At 43.0% G+C, this 18,196-nt stretch overlaps 1 protein-coding gene across 4 annotated transcripts in view, besides 3 other annotated features; it reads right to left on the bottom strand.

The window, feature by feature from the left end:
* The window catches only part of ANK2 (ankyrin 2), a 678,115-nt gene extending 666,873 nt beyond the window's left edge, over window positions 1-11,242 (bottom strand). For all 4 annotated transcript variants that reach the window (NM_001386186.2, NM_001386148.2, NM_001354269.3 and 1 more), the window contains exon 1: window positions 10,647-11,242. In NM_001386186.2, coding sequence (NP_001373115.1) covers window positions 10,647-10,718 — 72 coding nt within the window. In that variant the 5' untranslated portion in view covers window positions 10,719-11,242. The remainder of the gene's footprint in view (window positions 1-10,646) is intronic.
* Window positions 4,931-5,431: an enhancer, noted in NCBI's record as "H3K4me1 hESC enhancer chr4:113632589-113633089 (GRCh37/hg19 assembly coordinates)". NCBI's record gives its function as "activates a minimal SCP1, AML or CMV promoter by ChIP-STARR-seq in primed H9 embryonic stem cells {active_cell/tissue: H9 hESC(primed)}" and the evidence as "EXISTENCE:reporter gene assay evidence [ECO:0000049][PMID:30033119]".
* Window positions 11,037-11,331: a silencer, noted in NCBI's record as "tiled region #87; HepG2 Repressive non-DNase unmatched - State 4:PromP, and K562 Repressive non-DNase unmatched - State 4:PromP". NCBI's record gives its function as "represses a minimal TATA promoter and a strong SV40 promoter by Sharpr-MPRA in HepG2 and K562 cells {active_cell/tissue: HepG2 | K562}" and the evidence as "EXISTENCE:reporter gene assay evidence [ECO:0000049][PMID:27701403]".
* Window positions 11,562-12,261: an enhancer, noted in NCBI's record as "H3K27ac hESC enhancer chr4:113625759-113626458 (GRCh37/hg19 assembly coordinates)". NCBI's record gives its function as "activates a minimal SCP1, AML or CMV promoter by ChIP-STARR-seq in naive H9 embryonic stem cells {active_cell/tissue: H9 hESC(naive)}" and the evidence as "EXISTENCE:reporter gene assay evidence [ECO:0000049][PMID:30033119]".

The raw sequence follows: 18,196 nt of genomic DNA, 5'->3' as shown, positions 1-18,196 counted from the left end.
AGTGTTTTGTTTTGGAGTAAGGTTTACTTTTCCCACATATCCATCTATAAATATGTGATGTTATTACCACATTCTTGTATAACTTCTTCAATTAAAAAAAAGTACAATAAAATCATGTTTACAGATTATTAGAGGCCAGGTGCAGTGCTGTAAGCCTATAGTACCATTTACTCAGAAGGCTGAGGCAGGAGGATCACTTGAGCCCAGGAGTTCAAGGCTGTGGTGCACTATGATCATGCCTATGAATCATCGCTGCACTCCGGCCTGGGCAATATAGGAGGCCCCCATCTCTACCAAAAAGACTATTAGAATAAGGGACATTTAGTTAACCAGAAGGCTTACGATATAAACAATTGAAATCAAAATTACATATTTTTTCACAATAGCATATACACCTATAGTATTTTATTATTTTGAAAGCACTTACACTAACATTATACCATTAGAGATTAATGATGGACCAATGAGGCCCAGTGTGGTGGTTTACACCTGTAATCCCAGCACTTTGGGAGGCCAAGGTTGGAGGGACTGCTTGAGAATAGAAGTTCGAGACCAGCCTGGTCAACATAGCAAGACCCTGTCTCTATATATAAAAAAGAAAAAAATAATAATAATGGACCTGTGAGATGGAATTATGGTTACTGCCATTTAATACATTATAAAACTAAAGTTTAGCCAGATTATATAATTTACTCAGAGTTACTCAGATAGGAACTAGGGGGGCTGTGCAAACCTCATTTCTGACTTCCGTGTCTAATCCTCAGGCAAATGGCTGTCCTTCCTTGTAGTGCTGTCCTTGGGGAAGGGAAGAGGCTGACATTTATTGTGCATTTATCATATAACAACAATAGTTAAAATCATTTAGTATAAACCAACTGCCAGGTATCAAGCAAAATGTATTTTGTACATTTTATTGTTTATTTATTCATTTATTAATTTTGAGATGGGAGTCTCGCTTTGTTGCCCAGGCTGTAGTGCAGTGGCGCAATCTCGGCTCACTAAAACCTCCACCTCCATAGCTGCAAAGAAAAAGTGCAGGCCCTATGTGAGCAAGTCCCCTGGTCCCATGCCTTCCTCATTCAGTAGGAAAAAGTGTGGTTGGAAGGAGCCCAGAGTGAGAAGTTCTAGAGCTTAGAGCTTGTGTCTGAGGGTGGTACTGTGTAACACTCTCCAAACTCAAAGCACAGAGCCCGAGTACAAGGCGACTGAACAATCAAAAGGAAGGTAAACAGCAGAACTACAGCATTTGCATGTAGTGATTTATGAAGATTTAAGTGAGGAAATATTTCCTGTGAAATGTTTGTAACTAGTTCTTATCACATCTGTGTTACCTCCTGATCCGATGACAAAAATAACGTGCTAAGTCCTGTTTGATACCAGCTTATTTGTGTTAACCTAGTTCTCACTCTGTGGTAGATCATATTTTCAAAGGTGGCCAATATCCCTCCCACATGCTATTTTTATAATATGATGTTAATATCCATCCCTCCCATGGAATAGTGGGATGTACGTCCCCTACCACTGAATCTAGGTGAACCCATGAGACTGCCTCACCAAGAGTATGACAAAAGAAACCTGTGATTTCTAAGGCTAGGTCTTAAGGATGCCTTTTACTTCTGCCGCAATTTCTTGGGACTTTTACTGTTGGAACCCAATCACCGCGCTGCAAGGAAGCCAAGATCCACACAGAGAGGACTTATATAGGTGTTCTAGCTGACACCCTCAGGTAGTATTGGTCACCAGACGTGTGACTGAGCAAATCTTAGATGATTATTGCTCCAGTCATGGAGTCACCTCCAGCCTTCTAGTCACCCCAGCTGATTCCTCATATCCTTACCAACCCCTACCCAATTGCAGATTAATGAGCAAAACACATGATTATTGTTGTTTGAAGCCACTATGTTTGATGGGGTTTGTTATGTAGCAATTGATAATTGAAACTATTTATATATCCTTGTGATAAAAGCTAGGTTTACAGGCTAGTGAACTCAAGGCTATACGTGTCACTAGAAACAGATAATTAGCTCCTTAATATACCATAATCTACCCATATAATACCCCTTTATAAAAACATAAAATGCTAAACGTCTCCAAACCTTGTAGTGAATGAAGCTTAAAGTCCCTATTTATTTCTCATTTTATTGCTCATATTCAATGTAGCCGATTTAGAAATTGTTTTTTTAAAGCCTCTGGGAACTCTCTGTATTCATCAAGTAGGGTATGAGATGTGACATATTACTTTGTCTTTTTTCATTTGATTTTTTGATATAGTTTTATTGTATGCAGTTCACTTTCATAAACAGCCTTCCTTCTAGAAATGAGTGCTTGTCTTGTAGCTTCATATGATGTTTAAATGGGAAATTGTATAAATAATGTTTTAAGGCTGGGTGCGGTGGCTCACGCCTGTAATCCCAGCACTTTGGGAGACCAAGGTGGGTAGATTGCTCAAGGCCAGGAGTTCAAGATCAGCCTGGCCAACATGACAAAACCCCATCTCTACTAAAAATACAAAAATTAGCCAGGCATGGTGGCGTGTGCCTCTGGTCCCAGCTACTTGGGAGGCTGAGGCAGAAGGATTGCTTGAGCCCAGGAGGTGGAGATGGCAGTGGGCCAAGATCCCACCACTGCCCTCCAGCCTGGGCAACAGAGCAAGACTCCATCTCAAAAAAAGTAAAGAAAACTAAAGGATGTCAAATAAGTACATAAAAAGTATTCAACATCATTAGTCATTAGGGAAATACAAATTAAATCCACAAAGAAGTGTCTCTACACCCTTATTAGAATGACTAAAACAACAAAATGCCAACATCAAATGTTGACAAGGACGCAGAGCAATAAGAACTCTAATTCATTGTTGGAAGGAATGTAAAAGCAGCAACACAGTCACATTGGAAAATAGTTTGACAGTTTTTTTTTTTGTTTTTTTTTTTGAGACGGAGTCTCGCTCTGTCGCCCAGGCTGGAGTGCAGTGGCGAGATCTTGGCTCACTGCAAGCTCCGCCTCCCGGGTTCACGCCATTCCCATGCCTCAGCCTCCCGAGTAGCTGGGACTACAGGCGCCTGCCACCACGCCCGGCTAATTTTTTTTTGCATTTTTAGTAGAGACGGGGTTTCACTGTGTTAGCCAGGATGGTCTCGATCTCCTGACCTCGTGATCCGCCCGCCTCGGGCCAGTTTCTTATTAAGTTAAACATATACTTACTATATAATCCAAAATTTATATTCCTAGGTGCACACCCAAGAGAAATAAAAACATGCTTCACACAAAAAATCCATACCAATTTTTTTTGTTTTTGAGACGGTGTTTCACTCTTATTGCCCAGGCTAAAGTGCAATGGCGCGATCTCAGCTCACCGCAACCTCCGCCTCCAGGGTTCAAGCGATTCTCCTGCCTCTGCTTCCCGAGTAGCTAGGATTACAGGCATGCGCCACCACGCCCAGCTAATTTTGTATTTTTAGTAGAGACAGGGTTTCTCCATGTTGGTCAGGCTGCTCTCGAATGCCCGACCTCCGGTGATCTGCCCACCTCGGCCTTCCAAAGTGTTTTATATAGCAACTTCATTCATCACTGCCCCAACCTGGAAACAACCCAAATGTTCTTCATCTGGTGAATGGCCGGGCAGTGGTGCACCCATACGATGGAATACTACTCAGCAATAAAAAGGAACAAAATGTTTACACATGCAAGACACTTAGAGGGACCTGTTTACAGGCACTATGCTGATTGAAAAAAATCAATTTTAAATGGTTTTATTCTAGGTAATTTCATTTATCTGACATTCTTGGAAAGGCAAAACTATATGGACAGAGAACAGATCAGTGGCTATCAGGAATTGAAGGTAGGAGAAGCCTTTGTTTGACTACAGTAGGATTAGCATGAGGGAAATTTTCAGGGAGATAGAACTATTCTCTACCTAGATTGTGGTGATGGTTACACGACTCTTAAGTATTTGTCAGTACTCATTAAACTATATAAAAAGTGAATTTTACTATATGTCTATTAAAAAACAAAATTTAAAAACCTAAATTAATAATGTCAATACATAACTATATTTATTTATTGCCTGTGACTGTCATCCCTTCACTGTCTAAAATAAATTTTCCTGTGCTGTAACTCAAATACTTTTTATAAAATAAAAATTAAAAATATAACATCTTGGCCGGGCGCAGTGGCTCATGCCTGTAATCCCAGCACTTTGGGAGGCCAAGGTGGGCGGATCATGAGGTCAGAAGATCGAGACCATCCTGGCTAACACGGTGAAACCCCATCTCTACTAAATATACAAAAAATTAGCTGGGCATGGTGGCAGGCGCCTGTAGTCCTAGCCACTTGGGAGGCTGAGGCAGGGGAATGGCGTGAACCCGGGAGGCGGAGCTTGCAGTGAACCGAGATCACGCCACTGCACTCCAGCCTGGGCGACAGAGCGAAACTCCATCTCAAAAAAAAAAAAAAAAAAATATATATATATATATATATGACATCTTGGCTGGGTGCGGTAGCTCACACCTGTAATCCCAGCACTTTGGGAGTCCAAGGTGGGTGGATCACCTGAGGTTAGAAGTTCGAGACCAGTCTGGCCAACATAGTGAAACTCCATCTCTACTAAAAATACAAAAATTAGTCAGGCATGGTGGCACATGCCTGTAGTCCCAGCTACTCGGGAGTCTGAGGCAGAATAGCTTGAACCCGAGAGGCAGAGGTTTCAGTGAGCCGAGACTGCACCACTGCACTCCAGCCTAGAGGACGAAGTGAGACTCTGTCTCAAAATAAATAAATAAATAAATAAAAATAAATATATATATATATATGTGTGTGTGTGTGTGTATGTATGTAACATCTTGACAAAAATATACAAAGAATGCAATTAATAATAGAAGAAACTGCTAGGTGCAGTGGCACAGGCTTGCTTGTAGTCCTAGCTACCCGAGTAGCTAAGGCAAGAGGATTGCTTGAACCCAGGCATTTGTTTGTTGTGCTTTTCTTTTTTCTTTTTCTTTTTTTAATTTTATTTTTTATTTTTATTTTTATTTTATTTTATTTTTTTGAGACAGAGTCTCACTCTGTTGCCCAGGTTGGAGTGCAATGGCATGATCTCGGCTCACTGCAACCTCCGTCTCCTGGGTTCAAGCAATTCTCCTGCCTCAGCCTCCCAAGTAGCTGGGATTACAGGTGCCCTCCACTACACCCGGCTAATTTTTTTTGTATTTTTAGTAGAGACAGGGTTTCACCATGTTAGTCATGCTGGTCTCGAACTCCTGACATCAGGTGATCCACACACCTTGGCCTCCCAAAGTGCTGGGATTACAGGCTTGAGCCTCCATGCCCGGCCTGTTGTGTTTTTCTTGGACAGGGTCTCACTGTCATGCAGGCTGGAGTGCAGTGGCATGATCACAGCTCACTGCAATCTTGAACTCCCCGGCTCAAGCAATCATCCCACCTCAGCTTCCCAAGTAGCTGGGAGTACAGGCACCCACGACCATACCCAGCTAATTTTTGTATTTTTTGTAAAGATAGGGTTTTGCCATGTTGCCCAGGCTGGTCGCAAATTCCTGAGCCCAGGCCTTTGAGGCTATAATGCAGAACGACTGCACCTGTGAATAACCACTGCACCCCACTGCACTGCCCATAGCCTGGGCAGTACAGAGAGACCCTGACTTTTTTTTTTTTTTGAGACAGTGTGCTAGGATTACAGGCGTGAGCCACTGTGCCTGGTGACCCCAACTCTTAAGAGAAAAAAAAAGAAAGAATGAAAAATCCTTTAAAAATGTAAGCCTGGCCAGGCGCAGTGGCTCACACCTGTAATCCTAGCACTTTGGGAGGCTGAGGCAGAAGGATCACTTGAGCTGAGGAGTTTGAGACCAGCCTGGACAACATAGTAAAATATCACCTCTATTTATAATAAAAAATAAATAAATAAATATAAATGTAATCATATATACATATATATATATATATATATAAAACCTGTTCAAAAAGATTCTCCATTAACCCATTCATTCTCAGAAATATTTTTCTCAGGACCAGCACAAATAATTGAGGAGCTCCCAGTGGAGGCAAAAGGTAACTGAAAGCTTTAGTCACTCCTCTCAGCAACCATGATGCTGGAAAAATGTTCTTTTAGAGAACACAGAAGTGAAAATGGAATTCAAGCATTTTTTTTTTTTTTGAGATGGAGTCTTGCTCTGTCATCCAGGCTGGAGTGCAGTGGTGCAATCTCGGCTCACTGCAACCTCCACCTCCTGAGTCCAAGCTATTCTCCTGCCTCAGCCTCCCGGGTAGCTGGGATTGCAGGCGCCCGCCACCAAGCCCAGCTAATTTTTTTGTATTCATAGTAGAGATGAGGTTTCACCATGTTGGCCAGGCCGGTCTTGAACTCCTGACCTCGGGCAATCCGCTCGCTTCAGTCTCTCAAAGTGCTGAGATTACAGGCGTGAGCCACCTGGCCTGGCCCAAGCTATTCTCCTGATGGATTTGAGTAATGAAAATTACTTCAACTCTACCGTAAATACTATAGTTAAATCCGAGTAACTCAAAGCAGAACTCCATGAGAATAATTATAGATAGCTAGGAGTAACAGAGGAGTTCTTTAATAGTCACAAGCCCTGAAAATTAGAAGAAGATAGTAAGTAACAGTGATTGCAAAGTAAGGCATCATTAAGACCACATTTTAAATCCCTAACTTCCAATTTCCTAACTATGAACTTGAGTATGTAGCTCAGTTTCTCTAAACCCACGTTTTCTTGTCTAGAAAATGGGAATAATATCTCCTTCACAGGATTGTTGTGAAAACTATGCCTCGCTCAGCACCATGCTTGGCTCACTGTAAATATTTCAGTATTACCACATGGGAGGTCTCAATGTTTCCACAGCAAAGAATGAAGGAACACTAGTTTGGTGCCATAAATGATATGACACCAATACCCAGAGACCATGGGGAAGGATTGATGAAGAAACAAGAGAATGACACTGAAGTTTTCTGGCACCAATGACAGACGGTCTTAAAGCTCTTCCAAGTCTCACAGCAATCAATGCCATGATAACACCCATCAGAGTTTGTCAAAAAGATGGTAAGGTCCAGATAGATGCTATCACCATATCTTTTCTTTTTTTCTTTTTTGAGACTGTTTTGCTCTGTCACCCAGGCTGGACTGCAGTGGCTCAATCTCAGCTCACCGCAACCTCCGCCTCCTGGGTTCAAGCAATTCTTCTGTCTCAACCTCCTGAGTATCTGGGATTACAGGTGCCTGCCACCACACCCAGCTAATTTTTGTATTTTTAGTAGAGGCCAGGTTTCACCATGTTGGCCAGGCTGGTCTCGAACTCCGGATCTCAGGCGATACTCCCACCTCGGCCTCCAAAAGTGCTGGGATTACAGGCATGAGCCACTGTGCCCGGCCTTCAATATATCTTATATGTCATAATCTCAGTAAGTACGCATTTAACTTTGATTTAAATTCTCTGGAAATGGCCATAAGAGTCATATGGGTCCTTTAATGTATATGACATATACAGACAAACTATTGCAAAACAACCATTTCTTCATCTTTTCTTTTACAAAGTTAGAAAATGAATGAAGAATAAACATGGGCTGATGTCCACGAAATCTATTTTCATAACTAATTTGACTTACGAGTTGGAAAAAGTAGGTGAAACTTCTGTTAACTTATTTATCCTGTATATAAAACACAGAAAAGATACCCCTTTTCTTACAAGAAGAAGAAAAAAAGGGAAATACCTAATGCCTAACAAGCCTGAAAAGATGGCGCATTGATAAAGTTATCTCTCCCTTAGCAGAATGAACTTAAAGGTCATTTTTCCTTGTCCTTCTCATTTTTGGAAATCTAGATTTTAAGTACACTGTGTGAAGGTACTGGACCACTTTAGATATTTCATGCTACATCAGCATTTTCCAAAAGCTTTAAAAAAATCTTTGTTCAAAATATGAAGTTGTAAAAAATAACATATATAGCTTGTGATATGTAATTCTAATAATATATGAAATAATTAATGAGAACAGAAATATAGCAAATAAATGCAAACGAATTCAATCCTACAGTGACATTTTAGGTACATACAAATTAGGTATTATTTAGGCTCATTATTAGAGGAGTGATCAAAACAAAAAGTTGATAAATAACTATTTTGTCTAAATAACATGGAAAGGACCCTATAAGTAATTCAAATTTTAAATAGTTTGATGCTTCAAATACCTACACCTGCTAATGGGTAGGGTTTTTGTCCTCTTCATTTCATTATCTTTAGAACATGAAACATTACTTTATGCTGAGTAAATGTCTGTTGAATAAATGAATCCCCACACAGCATAGTTTCATTGAAATTAGTAGTTAAATATACTAATTTGCCAGCTATGTTTATATTCACCAAAAGCTTTCCTAAAATATTTTAATTTCTAAATTTCCATTATATAATTAATAGTATGACCAATAGATTTGTCAAAAATCCACATTAAAATCTTTACTCCTTTGGACTTCTGTGCTTTTCTCAATTACACTTTTTCTGAATTTTTACATGGTTCAGAAAGAGTAAAACAATTCCAATTTTAATTTAATTCCAATTCAATCCAGAATTGATTTGAAAAAGAATTACTAATGAACATGGAAAAATATGTCCAGGAAACAGTGACACAGTTAAAATACAATGTGAATGGGGCCTAAAACATTTCACCACTTAGTAGAACAACACGGTTTTCCCTTCCGTTTTTCTATTTCTAATTTGCTCAAAATCACTTTCAGGCAAATGGTGATTCTGCAGCCAGAGGTTGTCAGTACTTCTGTTCCACCTGACTGGATGAATCAGGTAGACTGGAAGGACCAATAATTCCAGCAACCTATTTCTACATCCTATGCAAATTAATGCACCAATCACTAAAACAGTGCTACTGTAAGGTCATATAAATGAAAGCCTGAACAGAGGACACCAGTCAATAACTTGAATGTTGCAGCACTATGTCATTTTACACAGCTTTTAATTATGAGCTTTTCTAAATAGGGTGTCTAGTCTGCAAAATAACAATGACCTTCCACGCACATTTTTTGTATAACTATTTTTATACGTATTTTTGCTAGATCAATAAAAGTGCTTTACAGAATAAGATTTCATAGAAATGTCTGAGTGCACATATTCTGTTTATTAATAAATTAACAAATTTTACTTCCTCAATGTTTATGTATGTGTGCATACATATATATTTAGCCAAATATAAAAATAATTTTTTGCTTAAAATATGATTTATAATTGCAAATAACAATAATTTCACCTTCATTCTTGAATGCATAACTATCACAAATACAGATTTAATGATATCTGCTATCACAATTCTTCCAGAAAATAATAAAAAAAAGAATAGCTCCAAGTGCAATTAAAAATGCATTGTCATAAAATTAGAGTCCTAGATTCTACAAGGATTTAAAACCCTAACAATTTCTCTGGGACGCAGATTGCCACAAAAACTGTACACACTACTTTTTAGTCATTGCATTAAAAAATGCCCATAAACAAAGGTTGTCCCTAATATAACACTACTTACACATATTAAAATTCAAACGTGGCAAAGACCTTGTTAGGCATCAATCAATTTTACTGTCACGTTTTCATAAATCCTGGAGTCTCCTTTATTTTTCAAAATTTCCACACTACCAGGGAGAAAGACCATTCTGTTGGGCATTATTTTCCTGCACAGATAGTATTCATCAACCAATTTTAGCCCTCTTTCTAAATAGGAATCCAATTCTCTTCGGTAAAGAGGTTTCCTATTTGCAGTCAATGGATCATATTCTCACACTCATACACTACCATGAACACAGCAAGTGCACAATCGCTACTACTGTGATAACCTAAGGTGCTGGTGCTATAGTTCCTGGCAATGGTAGCCGGGGGGAAAAAATCTAGATACCAAATCACAGATCACAACCAGATGGAGTACTCCCTTGTTTTAATATTACCATACAAACAGAAAACAGGGCTTATTCAAACAGTCAAAGAAACGTGCATTCCTCCTTGCAGTGCTGGGGGAAGCTGTTTGTGTCTCTATAGACGTGGAGAGAACAGGAACACATGTTTTCTGTACTACATGGCTAATGCAGGATACAGGGCTGCAGTTGTTGGGTGAAGCTTTGCCCGAAAGTTGAGAAATGGTGAGTAACCTCTAGATGAGGTTCCTGCTCTCCTATGGGTGGAAGTAAATGCTTCCAGCAATCCTTCTCAAGGTCCTCGGGGAGTTTGGGTCTGGGGTACCTTTCCCCCAGGGGCACCCTGGTTTCTTCTAACGGTATAGCTCTGCAGTGGGTCATGTGACAGCTGGGTGTGTGCCTCTGTGCGGGGTGGGAGGGATGAGTTTGCGGGGTGCGTGTGTGTGAGTGTGCGTGCGTTCAGAAGTTACACGTCTGGTTTTGGAAGACGTGTATTTTTCTAGGGCTATCTGCGTGTGTGTCTGTATGTGTGTCTGTGTGTGAAGTGAGACTGAGAAAAGAGGTTTAGAGAATGGTCCTGGGCCGGGCGATGTAGCCAAGTTGGCTCGTGTCGGCCCCGCTCCTAGGGGAGCCGCCGCATTGGGGTTGAGGTCCCCGCCCTTGGGGGACGCGAGGACAATGGGGTGCCGGCGCCCCTCCCGCACTTTGTGCACCCACCTGACGAATCCGCGGCGGGTTCGGCGGGGTGGAGGCCCCGCCTTCCGGGGCCGGGGAGGTGGGAGAAGCCATCTTCCTGCGGCTCCGGGTTTCTTCCTCCTGTCACGCCCGGGTCTCCCGCGTCTCCTCGGTCTCCTCCGCGTCGGGCCTGCGGCCCGCGCCCGCCCGGAGTCTCCGCAGCCGCCGCGCCCCGCGGACCCGCCCCGGCTCCTGCGCCGCAGAGTGGAAGGGGCGGCTGTGCCCTCTGCTCGCCCAGCCGAAGTCCCTCCCGCGCCACCTACATCCCGGCCGGCGGACTCGGGGCCGCGGCGGGCCGGGGTCGGACGCGACCTTGGCCGCGGGGCTGGGCAAGCAGCTGCCCCTTCCCAGCGCCGCGCCCGGCGCGTGTGCTCTGAAAGTGCGAGCTGCCGGGCTTATTCTAGCGGCGGCGCCGGGAGAAAGGAGGCTGCTTCCCTAGCCGCTGCCGCTATCGCCAGGAGAGCCATGAGCTCATGGACAGCTCCCAGAAATATGTCTATATGCACCACTGACTGCCGGAGTTCGGGAGGTGGGTGGGGAGAAGGAGGCTCCTCCGCGGGCGCTCCCGCATCACTGGCGGACGTTCCCTCGGGAGGCCCCTGGCTGTTGGGGCGCGTCCAGCTCTTCCCTGCCCATCTCCACACTCACTCTCGGCTCTTTCCATTCATGCCATACACACATTTCCTATCCGCACTCACTCTCCGCTGGAGTTGTGCTAAGGCACCCACCCACCCACCCACCCACCTCTAGCCTCCACGCGCACACATTCTTTGTTCTGCCAACTACTCCCTATTGATAAGGGGGAATTCATTTACGGAGAGAACGTGGTGTGAAATGCCACCGGGACCTCAACCCCTGTCGGATGTGGGCTGATGGATGAAGTGTCCCAAACGGTGTGTCCTTCACGCTTTGGGCGTTTCCCCCTCCCTCGAGATCCAGCCTCTTCCCTTCCCACCTTCTTCACTGTAAGAAAGCATCTTCCAGCTACCGTCCAGGGTAGGGACTTGGCCCCATCCCTCACCAAGGCAGAGAGCACCTCTTTTGTAGCTCTGTGAAGAACTTAAAAGACGGACCATGTTTTGCAGACCTTTGCGCAAGGGCTGTGGCAGGAGTCATAAATCCCGCACAGGGGCCGACCTTGTTTGCCTCACTGTTTCCCAGGGGTATAGAGCTTCCATGGATATGCAAACCACCTTCCAAACCTGATGACTGTCTTTCTTCATTGGCTCAGCTGTCCTATTGAGGTGGAATTATGGCTTTTTACAGATAAAATGACCTTCCTGAGATTGTTCCCTTTCTCAGACATCATAAATTTTCCTTTCTTAAAGATTTCCGTAGAAACATACACCTACCTTCAAAAACAAAACAAAGCAAAACTTTCCTTTACCGCAGCCTCCCTTCCCTCAGCTAGTGTTCCAGTTCTGTACATCTCCTTTCAGCAAGAGCCTTTACAAAGTTTCAGTATCTCCTGTTCCTCTCTTCACGTTCTCTATTGAACGTAGTCCATTCAGGCTTTCCTCCACCTACATCACCAAACTTTCTCCTGGCAAGGTTCCCAATTACCTCCATGCTGCGAAATCTAATGATCAATTCTCAGTCCTCCTTTGGCTTGACCTCCAAATGTTAAAAAGAAAGAAAGAGAGAGAGAAAGAAAGAGAAAGAAAGAAAGGAAGGAAAGAAAGAAAGAAAGGAAAGAAAAAAAGAAGAAAGAAAGAAAGAAAGGAAAAGAAAAAGAAGAGAAGAGAAAAGAAAAGAAAAGGAAAGAAAAGAAAAAAAAAAAGAAAGCTAGCTCCCGAGCGCGGTGGCTCACTCCTCTAATCCCAGCACTTTGGGAGGCCAAGGCGGGTGGATCACAAGGTCAAGAGACTGAGACCATCCTGGCCAACATGGTGAAACCCCACCTCTACTAAAAATACAAAAATTAGCTGGGCGTGGTGGCACGTGCCTGTAATCTCAGCTACTCAGGGGGCTGAGGCAGGAGAATCACTTGAACCCGGGCAGGCGAAGGTTGCAGTGAGCCGAGATTACACCACTGCACTCCAGCCTGGAAATAGAGTGAGACATCGTCTAAAAAAAAAAAAACTATACTTTAGTTTCCTTACCTGTGAAAGGGCAATAATATTACTTACTTTGTAGGATCATTGTGAATAGCAAATGAGATAAAGTACATAGACATTGTAAATGCTCAATGTAAATACTCAATACTGTAGTCATTACTACATTATTATGTAATATTATGTAATGATATATTACATAGATATTATGTAATGATATCTACCTAAAAACAGGAGACTGAAGATAAAGATGGTTAAAAAAGAAAACCTTTATGTCATATCAGAAAATCAAGAAAAACTTAGTGAGCCAAGTAAGTACTGATAATACTGCTATGGCTCCTGAGTGCTCTGTATCATAAGTGGGCACACAGAAATCTAAATTTATGGTCTTCAATCTCTCCTGTCCTGGGGTACATAATCCAAATTAATGAAAAAATGAACATAACAATAAAAGAATAACATTTTAAATAGATAGATAATAGGTTGATATACAGATGTTGAGATTGATAGATATGGGCAGAGATACAATGCAATATTATAAGTAGGAAAGTATTTTCTTTTTTCTGTCTTTCTTTTCTTTTTTTTTTTCTTTTTTTTTTTTTAAGTAAGTGTCTCACTGCGTCACCCAGGCTGGAGTGCAGTGGCAAGATCTAGGCTCACTGCAGCCTCGACCTGCTGAACTCAAGCGATGCTCTTGTCTCAGTCCCCCAAGAAGCTGGGACCACAAGCACACACCACCATGCCCAGCTAATTTTTGTATTTTTTGTGAAAATCGGGTTTCGCCATGTTGCCCAGGCTGATCTCAAACTCTTGGGCTCAAGCCATCTGCCCACCTTGGCCTCCCAAAGTGCTAGGATTACAGGCATGAGCCACTGTGCCTGGCCAGTATTTCAATTTTTACTTTTACAGTTCTGGAGGCCAGAAGTCCAAGATCAAGGTAACAATAGGGTTGGTTCCTTCTGAGGACTTTGAGGGAGAATCTGTTCTATGCTTTTTCCTTAGCTTCTGGTGGTTTGCTGGAGAACTTTGGCATTCCTTGGCTTGTTGAGGTATGACTCAAGTCTCAGTCTCACTTGTCGCTTGCCACAACAGTGAAGAGTGCTCCAGGAAAGGCATCATTTGGGTTTACCAGGAAACTATGCAAAATGGAGACTACTGTAGTGGTCTCTGAAGCCCTCTTGGGTGGTGGCTGTTTATCTTCCAATAGCCCTCCTTCTCTCTCAGACCCTGGGATGAGCTTCATCTTTGCTTATAACTGCTACGTCTAGACTCTTGTCCCTACCTCTTCCCCTAAAAAATCCAACTGCTTTGAAAATCATGATAGACCACCGCAACTTCTCTTTGTTACAGACATTTACATTTCCTGAAGGCCTTAAAAACCTTACTTTCTTCTTCTTCAGCAATATCCTTGTCATAATTCTTGTTAATTTTTTAAAAATCGACATAGGTCGGGTGCAATGGCTCACACCTGCAATCTCAGCACTTTGGGAGGCCAAGGCAGGTGAATGATTTGATGTCAGGAGTTCGAGACCAGCCCAACCAACATGGTAAAACCCTGTCTCAACTAAAAATAAAAAAATTAGCCTGGCATGGTGATGCATGCCTGTAATCTTAGCTACTCGAGAGGCTGAGGCTGGAGAATGGCTTGGGCCTGGGAGGTGGAGGTTGCAGTGAGCCAAGATTATGCTGCTGCACTCCAGCCTGGGTGAGAGCATGAGACTCCATCTTAAAAATAAAATAAAATAAAATAAATCCACATAGACAATTAGACAATGCCCCTGTTAACCTGCAATGACTTGACCTCCACCCCACCCCAGATATACACTGTCTACTCCCATGTTCATACCCTAGGGTTTTTTATTATTGATATTTGTCCCCTCTCTATGACCACACTATCAAGCATTCCATTCTCCGGTCATCACTTACTTTCTTTCCAACTGACTTCCTATACTACCCTATCTCCAATAATTCTGTAATCCCACTAAAACCTCCAACTCTGCAGCCCTACTATCTTCACACTATCCCTACTCCATTGCACGTCCCCATCCTCCTCCTAACTCAATTTGGATTCCATGAACCACTATTATATTATTACAACCACTGCCTTGTATGTACTTCAACTTGCCTCTTTCTCCCTCTGCCATACTCACCTGGCAAAATGAAATCTCAATTATATCCATTTTTCCATCTACTCTAAGCCTGCACCCATGCAATATACACCTGGAGAAAAATGCTGAGAGGTCTCAGTGTTGCTGGACACTAATTTCAAGTGGGCCCTTGTTGGCGTGTGGTAATCCTTCATATTTCCTTAATAAATTGATTCTCCCACTTTTCAAGACAATCATTAACACATTAACAACTCTCTCCTCAAACTTCCAGTGCTGCCCCTGAATTTTTTTTTTTTTTTTTTTTTTGAGACAGGGTCTCACTCTTGCCCAGACTGAAGTGCAGTGGAGCAATCTAGACTCACTGCAGCCTCCACCTCCTGGGTTCAAGTAATTCTCATGCCTCAGCCTCTGGAGTAGCTGAGATCCCAGGTGCACGTGACCATGGCTGGCTAATTTTTGTATTTTTAGTAGAGACGGGGTTTCACCATGTTGGCCAGGCTGGTCTTGAACTCCTGACCTCAAGCAGTCAACCTGCCTCAGCCTCCCAAAGTGCTAGGATTATAGGTGTGAGCCACCACTCCTGGCCTGGATTCTTCATTCTCAACTGATGACCTTGTTATTTCACCAAGAAAACAGAGGAAGTGAAAAGAGAGCTTCCACATAGTTTCTTCACCATTATTATATTCATCTGCCCATATGCCGAATGATGCCTTTTATCTTCTTACCATGAATGAATTGTGCATGCTCTTATGAGAGGCCAAGCCCTCCACTTGGGCACTTGATCAGATCTCCTCAAATTTACTTGTGAACATCATTCTTATAAGTACTCTCCCTCCTCTCTCTCCCTCTGGCTCCCACTTTCCCCTGTATCATCTATTTTCCCTCTCTACTGGCTCGTTCCCATAAGCATACATCCCTGTCCCTCTGTAATTCCATGCTTCTGCTCCACGTATAGAAAACTTTTTCTGAAATGTAGTCTGTACTTGCTATTTCTGCCTTAAATCCACTACCTTCAGGTTCCCTCCTTACCATTTCACCAAAACTATTCTTGTCAGTGTTGCCACTCACATCCATGTTGTCATATACTTTGGTCTATTTTGTTTTGGATTTTTTTTTTATTTGGATAAATGTATGAGGGTACACATGCAATTTTGTTACATGCAAACATTGCGTAATGGTCAATTCAGGACTGTTAGGGTATCCATCACCCGAATAACGTACATTGTACCCATTAAATAACTTCTCATCCTCCAGCCCCCTCCCACCCCCTCACCCTTCAAAATCTCCATTGTCTACCATTCTACTCTCTACATTTATGTATACACATTTTTAAGCACCCACTTATGGGTGGGAACATGCAATACTTGTCTTTCTGTGTCTGGCTTGTTTCACTTAACATAATGACCTCCAGTTCCATCTTTGTTGCTTTGGTCAATTTTGGTCAGTTCTTGTCTGACTTATCTTCAAAACATATTTATTTGACATAAATTTCTTCACTTGACTTCCAGGAGTCCACACACTGTCTTGGTTTTCCTTCTGCCTAATGGGCTGCTTTTTTAAAATCCATAATCCCAGCCCTTGGACCCCTTTTCTCTGTCTATGCTCACTCCACAGCTAATCCCACATATTCCCATGATTTTTTTGTTTGTTTGTTTGTCTGTTTTGTTTTGTTTTTTGAGACGGAGTTTGTTTTTATTGCCCAGGCTGGAGTGCAATGGCGCGATCTCAGCTCACCGCAACCTCCGCCTCCCAGGTTCAAGCTATTCTCCTGCCTCAGCCTCCCTAGTAGCTGGGATTGCAGGCATGTGCCACCATGCTTGGCTAATTTTGTATTTTTAGTAGAGACAGGGTTTCTCCATGTTGGTCAGGCTGGTCTCGAACTCCCAACCTCAGGTGATCCGCCCACCTCGGCCTCCCAAAGTGCTCGGATTACAGGCGTGAGCCACCGCGCCCAGCCATTCCCATGATTTTAAATAGCATCTATAGCTGACAACTCCCAAATCAGATGTCTGGCCCTGCAGCTTCCCCTTTTGCCAACTGACTGCTCTCCATCTCCACCTAGATATCTGGGAATCTGGGAAGCATCTCAGACTAAGCATGCATAAAGCTATGTACTACTCCTCTAGCAGCCTTCTCCATCCCAGTAAATAGCAACTGTATCCTTCCAGGTGCTCACCTCAAAACTTTGGAGTCATCCTTGACTACTCTCTCTCATACACACATCCAGTCCATTAGAAAATTCTGTTGACCAAGTCTTCAAAGTATGCCCAGAACCTATTTCCCAGTCATACACCGCTGCTTAGAAAAGTCCAAGCCACCAGTCCCCTCTTTCTTGGATTATTGTAATAGTTACCTATAACTCTAACACCTATTCTTAGCAAGTCATTCAAAATTATCTCTAAATATAAACCCAATCATTTCATATCTCTCCCTAAAATCCTCTAATGGGACGGACACAGTGGCTTACATCTGTAATCCCAGTACTTTGGAGGCTGAGGCAGGTGAATTGCTTGAGGCCAGGAGTTCAAGACTAGCCTGGGCAACACGATAAAACCTCATCTCTCCAAAAAATACAAAAATTGACTGGGCACAGTGGCTCGCACCTGTAATCTCAGCACTTTGGGAGGCCAAGGCGCACAGATCACAAGGTCAGGAGTTCGAGATCAGCCTGGCCAATATGGTGAAACCCCGTCTACTAAAAATACAAAAATTGGGCCAGGCACAATGGCTCACTCCTGTAATCTCAGCACTTCGGGAGGCCGAGGCAGACAGATCACAAGGTCTCTACTAAAAATACAAAAAGTTAGCTGGGCGTGGTGGCAGGAGCCTGTAATCTCAGCTACTCAGGAGGCTGAGGCGGGAGAATAACTTGAACCTGGGAGGTGGAGGTTGCAGTGAGCCGAGATCTCGCCATTGCACTCCAGCCCAGGCGACAGTGCAAGACTTTGTCTCAAACAAACAAACAAACAAACAAACAGCCAACAACAGCAACAAAAATTAGCCGGGCATAGTGGCAAGCACCTGTAATCCCAGCTACTCAGGAGGCTGAGGCAGGAAAATCGCTTGAACCCAGGAAGCAGAGGTTGCAGTGAGCCGAGATCGCGCCACTGCACTGCAGCCTGGGTGACAGAGTGAGACTCCGTCTAAAAAAAAAAAAAAAAAAAAAAAATTAGCCAGGCGTGTGGCACACACCTGTCGTCCCAGCTACTTGGGAGGCTGAGGTGGGAGGATCACTTGAACTGGTGAGATCAAGGCTGCAGTGAGCTGAGATCGTGCCCCTGCACTTCACCCTGAGTGACAGTGCCTAAAATATGAGAGATTTAAAATACAATGCAACCCTTCTCTGTCATCTATCCTACCTATGTGTCCA

Source organism: Homo sapiens, chromosome 4, assembly GCF_000001405.40.
Source record: "Homo sapiens chromosome 4, GRCh38.p14 Primary Assembly".
Lineage (NCBI taxonomy): Eukaryota > Metazoa > Chordata > Mammalia > Primates > Hominidae > Homo > Homo sapiens.
This window is presented reverse-complemented; position numbering and strand designations above follow the sequence as displayed.